This window comes from Homo sapiens, chromosome 12, assembly GCF_000001405.40.
Source record: "Homo sapiens chromosome 12, GRCh38.p14 Primary Assembly".
NCBI classification, from domain to species: Eukaryota; Metazoa; Chordata; class Mammalia; order Primates; family Hominidae; genus Homo; species Homo sapiens.
The window spans coordinates 121,469,609-121,484,225 of record NC_000012.12 but is presented as its reverse complement, the minus strand read 5'-3'; the positions used below and the strand labels follow the sequence as shown (position 1 = coordinate 121,484,225).

General features: G+C 46.9%; 1 protein-coding gene across 46 annotated transcripts in view, besides 1 other annotated feature; it reads left to right on the top strand.

Annotated features, from left to right (window-relative positions):
- Positions 1–14,617, top strand: part of KDM2B (lysine demethylase 2B) — a 173,819-nt gene that overhangs the window by 98,054 nt on the left and 61,148 nt on the right. The window lies entirely within an intron of this gene.
- Positions 7,203–8,030: an enhancer, noted in NCBI's record as "OCT4-NANOG hESC enhancer chr12:121913999-121914826 (GRCh37/hg19 assembly coordinates)". NCBI's record gives its function as "activates a minimal SCP1, AML or CMV promoter by ChIP-STARR-seq in primed H9 embryonic stem cells {active_cell/tissue: H9 hESC(primed)}" and the evidence as "EXISTENCE:reporter gene assay evidence [ECO:0000049][PMID:30033119]".

Here is a 14,617-nt window from a genome sequence, read left to right as displayed (position 1 = left end):
GCCGCCTCACCCTCCTTATGGACTGCTGCAAGGGGCTTCTTTGCCTCTCTGGCCTCTGGTTGGGCTCAGCCTGTGGGAAGCACCTGCAGGAGAGGGGAAGGTGGGAGGAGAGGGAGGCGGGGTATTGATTTCTCCAGCTTCCTCCCTGTGGGATCATTGCAGGTTGAGTGTTTCCATCCATGGCAGACCACATCTCTATTGTGTGGCCTTCTTCAACTTTTCTGTTTCTGGTCACTGTTCCCTCCCCTTGCCCATTGGCCAAGGGGAGGAAACAGCTCTTCACTGTCCCTGGGCTTGGCTGCATCGAGGCCTGGCTGTTTTCCCTTAGCCCTGTTTACGTTTTGTCAATCAAACCTCTGCTAAACTCTCCATTATGCCTCAGTGTGAGGGGGCCTTGGTGCCATCCGATTCCTGCCAAGATCCTGGCTGACGCGCTTCCACACTTCTCTCCCCACTGCACTTCTGCATTCTACTCTGCATTTTGTGTTTGTGTGTGTGTGTGTGTGTGTTGTTGTTGTTTGTTTTTTTTGTTGTTTTTGTTTTTTTTCTGAGATAGGGTCTCACTCTGTCACCCAGGCTGGAGTGCGGTGGTGCAATCTCGGCTCATGGCAACCTACACCTCCCGGACTCAAGGGATCCTCACATGTCAACCTCCCAGGTACCTGGGACTACAGATACACACTACCATGCCCAGTTAAATTTTCGTATTTTTTTTAGTAGAGATGGGGTCTTGCCATGCTGCCAAGGCTGGTCTCAATCTCCTGGGCTCAAGAGATCCGCCTGCCTCAGCCTCCCAAAGTGCTAGGATTACAGGCGTGAGCCACTGCACCTGGCCATAGGGCCTAATACCGGTCTACTCTGCATTTTGGTTGACTGGACATATGTGAACGGAGCCTCCACTAGCATCTTGAGACTGGAGCTTGTCTTTGGTGTGTGTTTTTTTTATATTTTTAAATTTTTTTTGAGACGGAGTCTTGCACTGTTGCCCAGGCTGGAGTGCAGTGGTGCAATCTCGGTTCACTGCATGGAGCTTGTCTTAATAATGTTTTACTATTTTTTTTTTGAGATGGGGTCTTGCTCTGTTGCCCAGGCTGGAGTGCAGTGGCGCAATCCTGGCTCACTGCAGCCTCTGCCTCCTGGGTTCAAGCGATTCTCCTGCCTCAGCCTCCCGAGTAGCTGGGATTACAGGCGCCCCCCACCACGCCCAGGTAATTTTTGTATTTTTAGTGGAGGCAGGATTTCACCATGGCCAGACTGGTCTTGAACTCCTGACCTCAGGTGATCCGCCCCGCTTGGCCTCCCAAAGTGCTGGGATTACAAGTGTGAGCCACTGCACCTGGCCCAATAACGTTTTCCTTATTCATTTTTGCATCCTGTCAACGCAAACTGCTCCCAGATTGCAAGGGCCCAGGAAATACTTGTTGAATGAATGAAGTCAATAGCAAGATTTTCCCAGAGCTTCTGAAAGATGAGGCCGTATTCAATTAGTTTCATGTCTTTGTTGTCTTTCACCTGTACTCCAAATGCTTCTGAGTCCTGTTTGTGACTCACTTGTTCTTTATGTAACTCCTGTGTCCCAGTCCCCGCCAGATGTTAAATGAATGCTCATTAGAAGAGTACTAAGAAGGCTGGGTGCGGTGGCTCACGCCTGTAATCCCAGCACTTTGAGAGGCCGAAGCGAGTGGATCACGAGGTCCGGAGATTGAGACCATCCTGGACAACATGGTGAAACCTGTCTCTACTAAAATACAAAAAATTAGCTGGGCGTGGTGGCGGGTACCTGTAATCCCAGCTACCCAGGAGGCTGAGGCAGGAGAATTGCTTGAACCCAGGAGGCAGAGGTTGCAGTGAGCCAAGATAGCTCCTGGCGATCCAGCCTGGTGATAGAGCAAGACTGTCTCAAAACAACACAATGAAAAAAACAAAAAGAACAAAAACAAATTTAGGCATCCCCTTTTTTCCCACTAGACTTAGAAAGATCTTACATCACCTGGAATTTTTCAGCATTGTCTGTTTTAGAACCATTTTACTGGAACTTCAAGACTACGTTCACCTGACATAACCTGTAATTAAAGTCAGTGGCCAAGGATTTCTTTTTTGGTGTGATAACCTGCTCAGCTGGCTGAGTTAATAATGCCTAAGATAGGCTGGGTGTGGTGGCTCATGCCTGTAATCCCTGCACTTTGGGAGGCCGAGGCGGGTGGATCACCTGAGGTCAGGAGTTCTAGACCAGCCTGGCCAACATGATGAAACCCCATCTCTACTAAAAATACTAAAAAATTAGCTGGATGTGGTGCCGGGTGCCCGTAATCCCAGCTACTTGGGAGGCTGAGGCAGGAAAATCGCTTGAACCTGGGTGGCAGAGGTTGCAGTGAGCCGAGATTGCACCACTGCACTCCAGCCTGGGCAACAAGAGCAAAACTCTGTCTCAAAACAAACAAACAAACAAACAAACAAACAAAAAAAACCCTAAGATAAGTTCTTGAAAAGCAATTGAGATCTTGAGGGCTCTGGCCTTTGGAGTAATTAGAAAGCCACGCAGGTACTATAACCGATTGCTTGGCATTACCATGGTTTTATTTCTGGAATAATGGCTTATCCTTTAGACTTTGTGTATTTCCCACATTAAAGGAGGACATTTGATCATTGACATTAGGAATAAGTTGTCATTCCCCGCCCCCACCCCCCCGACTTCTTTCTCGAATTTGGCTTTGTTAGGAAGATGGATGTATGCTCAACCAAACGATGTTGTCAGATAATCTGTCCCTCAAATTTAGGTGACCTATTGAAAAAGGGACAAGGTTGGGTTTAGACAGGTGAAATATTTTCATCACTTATTTTTGCTTCATGTTACAAAGTTGGGAAGGATGAAGGGGGGAGTCTTAATTACACAAAAAGAAAGTAGGTGCAAACCTGCTCTAAATCACTGACCTCTTCCACCAACGAACAGAAACATCTCATCAGGAAAGCAGGATGAAGAGAATCAGAAATACTCTCATCGGCTGGGCCCGGTGGCTCACACCACCCAACAATTTGGGAGGCTGAGGCGGGTGGATCATTTGAGGTCTGGAATTGGAGACCAGCCTGACCAACATGGTGAAACCCTGTCTCTACTGAAAATACAAAAAAAAAATTAGCTGGGCATGGTGGTGCATCTGTAGTCCCAGCTACTTGGGAAGCTGAGGCAGGAGAATCGCTTGAACTCGGGAGGTGGAGGTGACAGTGAGCTGAGATCACACCACTGCACTCTGGTCTGGGCGACAGAGCGAGACTCCATCTCAAAAAAAAAAAAACAACAAAAAAAACACCTCTCACTTATAAAGAGCATTTTTTTTCTTGTCATTTAGATTCTCTTTTTTCTTTGCTAGTGTTTATGAGACAAGATGACAGGCGATGGCCGGGTGTGGGGCCAGCATGGGAAGGAGTATCTGTTTTTTTGTTTTTTGGGTTTTCTTGAAGACAGTCTTTTGCTCTGTCACCCAAGCTGGACTATAGTAGCATGATACTGGCTCACTGCAACCCTGTCTCCTGGGCTCAAGTGCTCCTCTCACCTCAGCCTCCTGAGTACCTGGGACTACAGGTGTGCACCACCACACCCGGCTAAGTTTTTTGTGGGGCTTTTTTTTTTTTTTTTTTTTTTTTGGTAGCGACAGGGTCTCATTATGTTGCCCAGGCTGGTCTTGAACTCCAGAGCTCAAGTGATTCTCCTGCCTCAACCTCCCAGAGTGCTGGGATTACAGACATGAGCCACCGTTCCTGGCCTGAACCTGTTCTTAATTCTCTCTTTTAATACAGACTTTTCTCAGGACATGATTTGTAGAAAACAAAGAGCCACATGTCCCATAGAATATCCCACTCTATGCATTTGTCCAAGTGTGTCTTGTGGTGTCATTTAGCTTGTTCTTTAGTTCTTGCAACTTCTGTAAATTGGATATAAGTTTTAAAGTCTTGGTTAAAGTAAATATAATCATTGGTTAAGGCAATGGAAGTCTGATATCCCATTATTCAGTTATTCTTCTCTCCTTGCTCCAGAGAATCTGGGTGGTGGTGCCTTGGCCCCCTCCTTGCCCGCCTCCCTGGACATTTGTGGATGGTTTCAGCACTTGTTGATCATTTTTTCCTGTATCAATAATGTCATCAGGAGCCAGGTGTGGTGGGCGACACCTGAAGTGCTAGCTACTTGGGAGGCTGAGGCAAGAGGACTGCTTGAGCCTAGGAGTTAGAGGCTGCATTAAGCTAAGATCACACCATTGCACTCTAGGCAGGGTGAGAACAGCAAGACCCTGTCTCTTTAAAAGCGAGAGAGCTGGGCATGGTGGCTCACACCTGTAATCCCAGCACTTTGGGAGGCCGAGGCTGGTGCCTCACTTGAGGTCAGGAGTTCAAGACCAGCTTGGCCAACATGGTGAAACCCTGTCTCTACTAAAAATACAAAAATTAGCTGGGTGTGGTGGCACGTGCCTGTAATCCCAGCTACTTGGGAGGCTGAGGCAGGAGAATTGCTTGAACTTGGGAGTCGGAGGTTGCAGTGAGCCAAGATCACGCCATTGCACTCCAGCCTGGGCAACAGAGCAAGACTCCGTCTCAAAAAAAAGGAGAGAGAGAGAAAAATGGAGTCACAGTTTGTCGCCCAGGCTTCAGTGCAATGATGCTGACTGCAGCCTCGAACTTCTGGGCCCAAGTAGCTTTCCAAGTAGCTGGGACACATGTGAACCACTCTTTTAAAGACAGTGTAATCCCCATCTGTTTTTTTTTTTTTGAGACAGGGTCTCGCTCTGTCGCCCAGGCTGGAGTGCAGTGGCACGATCTCGGCTCATTGCAAGCTCCGCCTCCCGGGTTCACGCCATTCTCCTGCCTCAGCCTTCCGAGTAGCTGGGACTACAGGCACCCGCCACCATGCCTGGCTAATTTTTTGTATTTTTAGTAGAGACGGCGGGGGTGGGGAGGGGCGGGTTTCACCTTGTTAGCCAGGATGGTCTCGATCTTCTGACCTCATGATCCGCCCGCCTTGGCCTCCCAAAGTGCTGGGATTACAGGCCTGAGCCACCGCGCCCGGCCAAGCCCCATCTCTTAAAAAAAGACCCGACATTCCACTGTTTACCAATTTATTTATAGCGCCTCCTTGTGGTATAGGAGTTCATTACTTCCATTTTAAAGATTAAAGAAATTGAGAACTCCCTTTACCCCTGAGCTTCAAGATCACAGCCTGAGGCCAGTGCCGTGGCTCAAACCTTAATCTCAGTACTTTGGGAGGCCAAGGCGGGAAGATCAGTTGAGCCCAGGAGCTTGAGAACAGCCTAGGCAACATGACGAAACTCTGTCTCTACAAAACACACACACACACACACACACACACACAAACAAACAAAAATTAGCCGGTTGTGGTGGTACGTGCCTGTAGTCGCAGCTGCTTGGGAGGCTGAGGTGGGAGGATTGCTTGAGCCTGGGCAACGGAGATTGCAGTGAGCCGAGATCGTGCCACTGCCTTCCAGCCTGGGCAACAGAGTGAGACCCTGTGTTCAAAAAGAAAAAAACAGAGCCTGAGCCCAGTATAAATAATTGGGGTCAGCTGGGCGCAGTGGCTCACGCCTGTAATCCCAGCACTTTGGGAGGCCGAGGCGGGTGGATCATGAGGTCAGAAGATCGAGACCATCCTGGTTAACACGGTGAAACCCCGTCTCTACTAAAAATACAAAAAATTATCTGGGCGTAGTGGCGGGAGCCTGTAGTCTCAGCTACTCGGGAGGCTGAGGCAGGAGAATGGCGTGAACTTGGGAGGCGGAGGTTGCAGTGAGCCGAGATCACGCCACTGCACTTCAGCCTGGGCGACAGAGCACGACTCCGTCTTAAAAAAAAAAAAAAAAGGATCTACTTGAGGGTGGAGGTAGGCAGGAGAGGGCGAGGATCAAAAAACATTACCTATTGGGTATTGTTGTGCTTACTACCGGAGTGGCGAAATGATCTGTACACCAGTCCCCTTCGACACACCATTTACCTATATAACAAACCCGCCCATGTACTGCTGAACATAAAAAGAAAAAAAATATTGGAAGCTGGACGCAGTGGCTCATTCCTGTAATCCCAGCACTTTGGGAGGGGAGGCCAAGGCGGGAGGGTTATTTGTTGACCATCCTGGGCAACATGGAGAGAACCTGTTTCTACAGAACTTTTAAAAAGATTTAAGGCCAGTTGAGGTGGCTCACGCCTGTAATCCCAACACTTTGGGAGGCTGAGACGGGAGGATCCCTTGAGCTCAGGAGTTCAAGACCAGCCTGGGCAACATAATGAGATCCCCGTCTCCATAAAAATTTTTTTAATGATAAAAAAAAGTTTTAAAATAAGAAAAAAGCCTGGGCACGATGGCTCACACCTGTAATCCTAGCACTTTGGGAGGCCAAGGCAGGTGGATCACCCGAGGTCAAGAGTTTGAGACCAGCCTGGCCAACATGGTGAAACTTTGTCTCTACTAACAATATAAAAATTAGCTGGGTGTGGTGGCAGACACCTATAATCCCAGCTACTCTGGAGGCTGAGGCACAAGAATCGCTTGAACCCGGGAGGCAGAAGTTGCAGTGAACCGAGATCATGCTATCGCACTCCAGCCTGAGTGACAAGAGCAAAACTCCATCTCCAAAAAAAAAAAAAAGGAAAGACAAAAAGAAAAGAAGAAAAAAATTAGCTGGGCATGGTGGCATGCACCTGTAGTCCTAGCTCCTCAGGAGGCTAAGGAGGGAGGATCCCTTGAGCTCAGGAGTTGGAGGGTGTAGTGGGCTGTGATTGTGCCACTGCACTCCAGCGTAGGTGACAGAGTAGACTTTGTCTCTTAAAAAAATAAATACATATATACATACATATATAAAAATAACTGGGGCCAGGCCAGGTATGGTAGCTCATACCTGTAATGAAAGGTATTTTTACAATACCTTTTTAGAAGGTACCATTTTTAGAAGCCAAGGTGAGACCATGCCTCCACAAAAAATAAAAAAAATTAGCCTGGTGTGGTGGCTTTGTGCCTGTAGTCCCAGCTAGTTGGATGAGATGGGGGGATTGCTTGAGGCCTGGAGTTAGAATCTGCAGTCAGCTATCATTGGCACCACTGCACTCCAGCCTGGGTGACAGAGTGAGACTCCGTCTCTACAAGATTCAAATTAAAAAAATTGTTTCATCAGGAGATGAAAAATGATCTTTGAAGAATGTCATTCCGTGTGAATTAGCTGGCGATGTTTGGCAGAGCTTTTCCTTGTCAACTGGGGCTACCCCTAAAAACAGTTCCTCCTGAGCCAGCAGTGTGAGGGCTTCACTTCTTGCCCTTTAAATGCTGATTTTCAAAGTAAGGAGTTGGTTAATGGCTATTTCAAATGGTGACAATAGATTTTGTCAGGCTTTTTCTATTTTGAGTGTCTTGATGGATCTATGAAAATCCATGAAATGAAGAACAAGAATGGTAACTGAAGAGAGAGGCCCATGGCAGCAGCCAGGGAAAGGGAGGAGGGAGGGAAGGAAGGAGGGAGAGAAAAGCCATATGTATTGGAATTAAAGTGTCATCGGAGCCCATCAGACCCCCACAGTGACTGTTAGCAGCTCATTTAAGAGGTGATTGAACTATCTCTTTGTTTCAGTTAGTTTTAACACATCCCGGGGTTTAGGGCCTATAGTTTCTAACCGTGTTACCTTTCAGGAATAGGACCTAAAGTCACTCTTTTTAATTTTATTTTTAAGAGACAGGGTTTTTTTTTTTTAAAAACAAAAAACAAAAAACTACCTGTTGGATGCCGCTTGTCTTGTTCGGTCACCCAGGGTGGAGTGCAGTGGCGTGATCATAGCTCACTGCAGCCTGGGACTCCTGAGCTCAAACAGTACTCCCACTTCAGCCTCCCAAATAGCTGGGACTACAGGCATACTACCATGCTCGGCTAATTTTTTTTTTTTTGAGGCGAAGTCTCGCCCTCGTCCTTCAGGCTGGAGTGTAATGGCACAATCTTGGCTCACTGCAACCTCCGCCTCCCGGGTTTGAGTGACTCTCCTGCCTCAGCCTCCCGAGTAGCTGGGATTACAGGTGCCTGCCACCATACCCAGCTAATTTTTGTATTTTTAGTAGAGACAGGGTTTCACCATGTTGGCCAGGCTGGTCTTGAACTCCTGACCTCAGGTGATCTGCCCGCCTTGGCCTCCCAAAGTGCTGGGATTACAAGCGTGAGCCACCGTGCCGGGCATTTTTTTTTTTTTTGGACACAGAGTCTCACTCTATTGCTCAGGCTGGTCTCAAACTCCTGGACTCAAGTAATCCTCCTACCTTGCCCTCCCAAAGTGTTGGGATAACAGGTGTGAGCCACTGCCCCTGGCCTAAAATCTCTCTTGAGTGATGATAGAGCCATAGGGAGATGCCCCAACTCTTGGAGAGAAAATAACATCTATTCAAAGACGTGGGGGTTGTGGGGCAGGGGGGTTAGTCTTCTCCTCATCTCCAAGATTTTCTTTCTAAAAAAAATTTTTTTTTATAGATGGGGTCTTGCCATGTTGCCCAGGCTGGTCTCAAACTCTTGGGCTCAAGCAATCCTCCTGCCTTAGCCTCTCAAAGTCCTAGGATTACAGTCATGAGCCACTGTGCCTGTTTTTTTTGTTTTGTTTTTTGAGACAGAGTCCCTGTCTGTCACCCAGGGTGACTGAGTGCAGTCACAATCTTGGCTCACTGCAGCCGCAACCTGTTGGGCTCAAATGATCCTCACACCTCAGCCTCTTGAGTAGCTGGGACTTAAAAGTGCATGCCACCTTGCCTGGCTAAATTTTCTTCTATTTTTTGTAAAGACAGGGTCTCAGTGTGTTGCCCAGGCTGGTCTCAAGCTCTCTGGGCTCAAGTGATCCTCCTGCTTCAGCCTCCCAAAGTGTTGGCATTACGGGTATGAGCTTCCACACCTGGCCTCCAAGTTTTGGTATAGTTTTTTTGTGTGTCCATTTTTGACCAGATTAGCTAACCTAGGGAAGACATGTCTGATGAAATACACACACACACACACACACACACACACACACACACACACACACAGAGTCATGTGTAGTTTAATGACAGGGATACATTCTGAAGAATGCATCATTAGGCAATTTCGTCATAGAATGTCCTTATACAAACCTAGATGATATAGCCCTCTACACACCTGGGCTGTATGGTAAAGCCTGTTGCTCCTGGGCTGCAAACTTGTACAGCATGCTACTGTATGAATACTGTAGGCAACTGTAACACTATGGTAGGTATTTTTGGTTTTCTGTTTGTTTGAGACAGAGTCTCGCTCTGTCTCCCAGGCTGGAGAGCAGTGAGTGGCATGATCATGGCTCAATGCAGCCTCAAACTCCCAGGCTCAAGAGATCCTCCTTCCTCGGCCTCCCCAGGTGCTGGGACTGCAGATGTGCACCACCACGCCCAGCTAATGTTTGTATTTTTTGTAGAGATAGGGTTTTGCCGTGTTGCCAGGTTGGTCTCCAACTCCTGTGTTCAAGGAATTCGCCCACCTCAGCCTTCCAAAGTGCTGGCATTACAGGCGTGAGCCACCATGCCCAGCTATTTTTGTATCTAAGCATAGAAAAGGTACAGTAAAAATATGGTATTATATTCTTGTGGGACCACAATCATTGACCAAAACGTTTTTCTGCAAGAGCATGACTGTATATGCTTTTTGTTGAGGTAATATCTACCTAACCTAAATTTTTATTTTTTTGAGATGGAGTCTTGCTCTGTTGCCCAGGCTGTAGTGCAGTGGCGAGATCTCTGCTCACTGTAAGCTCTGCCCCCCGGGTTCACGCCATTCTCGTGCCTCAGCCTCCTGAGTAGCTGGGACTACAGGCACCCGCTACCGCGCCCAGCTAATTTTTTTGTATTTTTTAGTAGGGACGGGGTTTTCACAGTGTTCACCAGGATGGTTTTGATCTCCCGACCTCGTGATCTGCCCACCTCGGCCTCCCAAAGTGCTGGGATTACAGGTGTGAGCCACCGTGCCCGGCCGTACCTAACCTAAAAATTTTAAAGTGAACAATTCATTGTCATTTAACACGTTCACAATGTTGTACAACCAATACTTCTATTTAGTTCCAAAATATTTTCATCACCCTCAACAGGAAACCCCGTACCCATCAGCTGTCACTCCCTGCTCCCCCTCCCCTGGTCCCTGGCAACCGCTAATCTGCTTTCTGTCTCTATGGATTTGTCTATTCTGGACTTTTCATATAAATGGCATCATACAATATGTGGACTTTTGTGTCTGGTTTCTTGTACTCAGCATCATGCTCTCCAGGCTCATTCCCCTTGGAGTATGTGTTAGTACTTCACTCCTTTTTATGGCTGAATCATAATTCCATCGTAGGGATAGACCGTGTTTTGTTTATTCACAAATCAAATGGATATTTGAATCGTTTCTACCTGTGGCTATTGTGAATAAAACTGCTATGAACAGTGATGATAATTTTATTCATATTTTGGCCTCTTTACTCTCTCTCTCTCTCTTTTTTTTTTTTTTGAGTTGGGAGTTTTGCTCTTGTCACCCAGGCTGGAGTGCAGTGGCTCAATCTTGTCTCACTGCAACCTCTGCCTCCCTGGTTCAAGCTTTACTCCTGCCTCAGCCTTCCAAGTAGCTGGGATTACAGGCGTGTGCCATCATGCCTGGCTGACTTTTGTATTTTTAGTAGAGACAGGGTTTCTCCATGTTGGCCAGGCTGGTCTCAAACTCCTGAGCTCAGGTGATCCACCTGCCTCGACCTCCCAAAGTGCTGGGATTACAGGCATGAGCCACCCGAGCCCAGCCATTTACTGTCTTCTTTATCATCTCATTTTGATTTTTTTTTTTTTTTTGAGACAGAGTCTCATTGTCACCCAGGCGGAGTGCAGTGGTGCCATCTCGGCTCACTGCAACCTCCGTCTCCCAGGTTCAAGCGATTCTACTGCCTCAGCCTCCCAAGTAACTGGGGTTACAGATGCCCACCATCACACCCGGCTAATTTTTTGTAGTTTTAATAGAGATGGGATTTCACCATGTCAACCAGGCTGGTCTCGAACTCCTAACCTCAAGTGATCCTCCTGTCTTGGCTTCCCAAGGAGCTGGGATTACAGGCGTGAGCCACTGCGCCCAACCTGTCATCTCATTTTGAATAATCTTTGGATTTGGGCTTTTGTTTGGAGTCTATGGTCCACAGAACTTCAGATCTTATTTCTCCAAGGTCCTTTTTTGGAGGATGATGGGCTAGACAATGGGATTGGTGCTCTGTTTAGGAAGCAAACCAACAGGGAGATTTTATCTTGTTATAAAAAAAAAATCATTAAATTACAAAATCTTGATTATAGGCCAGAATTAGGCTGGCATTTTACATATATTTAGCTTCTCATGTTTTTATGTGGGGGTGGTTTATAAAGTGAACCCACTTGTGTCATTCAATTTGCCTCGCTGAGCCTTAGTGTGGATTTTGATAGGGAAATGAATAGAGAAGGGAAGTAACTTTCTAAGGTCAGCAAAGGCATTGGGAATGGGGTGAGTGGTGGAAAAACATGTCTCAGATCAATGCCAGTCACCTGTTAAATTAGTTAATTTTTAAAAATCCTGTGCACAGTCACACATCTTCCAGTGAATGTAAATATTTATTGGGTGGTTTTTGGTAACGTAAGGAGACATAATTAGGAGAAGAATTCTCACTTAACAGAAAGCTTAGTCTATTTAGAGTCTATTTATATGATGAATATATGTGGTTTTTAAATGCTTGTGGAACGACTCTCCAGGGGAAAAATAAAAAGCAATTAAGTAACATTAGGAATTTCCTTAAGAGAAATCACTGCAGCCCCTGGTCTGTCCTACTGTCACTGTTCGAATTACAGTTTTATCCAGGTAGCCCTGGAATGCTATGTTAAGTGGTTAGAAAGTTCCTTTTATTTACACTGTGTTAGAAAAATAACTCTCCAAAAGACCTTCTGCTTTTGCCGTTAAGGGGGGCAAGTCTCCTGAAGAGCAGAGACAAATGGTAAAATAATAGTAAAATAACTGAAGCGCGCATTCTCAATTGCTTGTTAGGCATATTACTTGTGTAGGAAGCAACCCTATGCAGGCCTCCTGCTCTGTTACTTTTTTTTGAGACAGGGTGTTGCTCTGTTGCCCAGGGTGGAGTGCAGTGGCATGATCTTGGCTCACTGAAACCTCTGCCTCCCAGGCTCAAGCGATTCTCCTGCCCCAGCCTCCCGAGTAGCTGGGATTATAGGCACGCGTCACCATGCCCGGCTAATTTTTTGTATTTTTAATAGAGACGGAGTCTCACCATGTTGGCCAGGTTGGTCTCGAACTCCTGACCTCAAGTGATCCACGCCCAAAGCCTGGGATTACAGGCATGGGTCACTTCTGTTCCCTTCTTAGGGGCATGTTTACAAATGATGCCCATTGGTCCAGGAGGGTACCAGCCCGTCATTGGTCTCAACATTAAAAGGATCCATTCTGTTTCTCTGCCCTGAGCCTCTGGAAAATGATGTTCCCAAGCTTTAGCTGTGGCCTTTGTGACATGGGCACAAGGAAAGGGGTTTCACGCTGGAGAGCCCCTCCGCTTAGGTAAACCAGAGTCCACGGGGACAGCTGCTGCCCAGTCTGCCCTCCCCATGCCCATTCCTAGAAGTGGGCATGGAGAGGCTGGTGACTAACTCCAAGTGTCATCGTCTTCCTGTTTTCCCTCCTCCCTTCACCTTTGCACATTGCCTGACACGGCTGAGTCTGGGCAAAACCTCTTAGCAGCCAGGGGTCATTTCTGGGTTCTCACTCTCTGATAGGCAGATCAGAAATGTACACGACACCCAGAGAGAAAGCAGAGACATGAGTGACAATTGTGATGGAGGAGGACTCGGCTTCCATCTGTTTTTGTTTATTTCCACATCACATGGTGAAAGTTCTGGATCCAACTGGCTGGGTGGCATCAGCTTTGGGGACCTCTTTCTAAGAATATAAGTTAAGGCTTGGCCCAGTGGAATTGGGGGAGGATTCAGTTTTTAGGGTCGCTAGAAGATGAGGTCAGACGGAGGGAGGGAGGGCCACCCAAAAGCACAGTGTACATGCTAAATTTTAAGTTGGCAATTCTGTTGGGCAAGGGCTGGCATAATTTGTATTGTATATATAGTCCAGCACACTATTAATACAAAACAGATATTGGATAATTGTGTGCACCAGTTAACTATAGGAAATTTGCTTTAGGGAAATAGAGAAGAAGCATTTTGCAAGTGTCAAAAGAGGAATTTGTAAGAGGTGTCAGGACAGTGGCCTTCCTAGTGTTTGGAGGGAACCCACTACGTTATCATGTCCTAACCATGGCCTCCCGGTTCCACAGTTGGCCCTTGCCAGATCAGACAGCAACCTGGCTATCCAAACCATACCTACCCACCTTGGAATTGGATTTGAACTGAGAATACAGAATTAATAGCATGTAGTAAGGGACACTTAATTTTCTTCTGCTTCAGCCTGAGTTTGTCACCAGCCTCATTTGGCATCCTCCTCGTCTCTGGCATGAAGCATTGGAGCGGTGCAGTTGAGAGCCCAGGCTCCAGTTGCCTACAGAGTCAGATCCAGGTCCTTTCCCTTCCTCGCGGCAATGCGCCTCAGTCTCCTCATCTGTCAAGTACCCACCTTATGGGGCTGTTTAAAGGAATAAGTGAGATCATGTCTACAGCAGACTTACCACTGGTCTGGCCCTTTGAACATGCTTAAAGCTGCTGTTATTGCCTGGGCCCTTGGAGGGAGGTCTTTCTCTGGATGGTATTATATAAGAGACTCTGGTCTTGAAAGCCACTCCCTAATTTTCTTTGGGCCTTCATTTCCTCACCTGTGAAGTGAAGGGGTCAGGAGAGACCCCCTTCTATCTCTGAAATGATATAAAGGGAGGAAGGGAGTTTGTGTTAGCGGCAACTTTTTTGTTTGTCCGCACTTTTCCTTTCCGCTCTTTGAGCCATGATAGTTGAGAATTGTGTTTTTTTACTTCCTTAAATTCAGAAGTGAGCTTTTGAGAGTCCTCAAAGGAAATCAACCTCAAGATAATTCTTTTGCTCCTGATTGGTAATGGGAAAAACCTTTGAGAAGAATTCCTGCTTACAGACATCTCTCTCTCTCTCCTTTTTTTTTTTTTTTGAGACAGAATATCACTCTGTTGCCCAGGCTGGAGGGCAGTGGCACGATCTCCGCCCACTGCAACCTCTGCCTGCTGGGTTCAAGTGATTCTTGTGCCTCAGCCTCCTGAGCAGCTGGGATCACAGGTGTGTGCTACCATGACCTGTTAATTTTTGTATTTTTAGTAGAGACGGGGCTTCACTCTGTTGGCCAGGCTAGTCTTGAACTCCTAACCTCAAGCAATCCACCCTCCTCAGTCTCCCAAAGTGCTGGGATTACAGGTGTGAGCCACCGTGCCTGGCCTAGACATTTCTCTTGATGTATTATGTTATTTGGGTGACTCTATACCCCTGTAGGCTTGACCAATCACAATGAAGTGGAAGCATGATTGGCATGTTATGAGCCCCTCCTCTTTCTTTAGAGGCTCCTACTGAGTAGAGTGGCCAGCAAGAGGTCAGATACAAACTTCAGACAACAAGGTAGCCTTTTTTTTTTTTTTTGAGATGGAG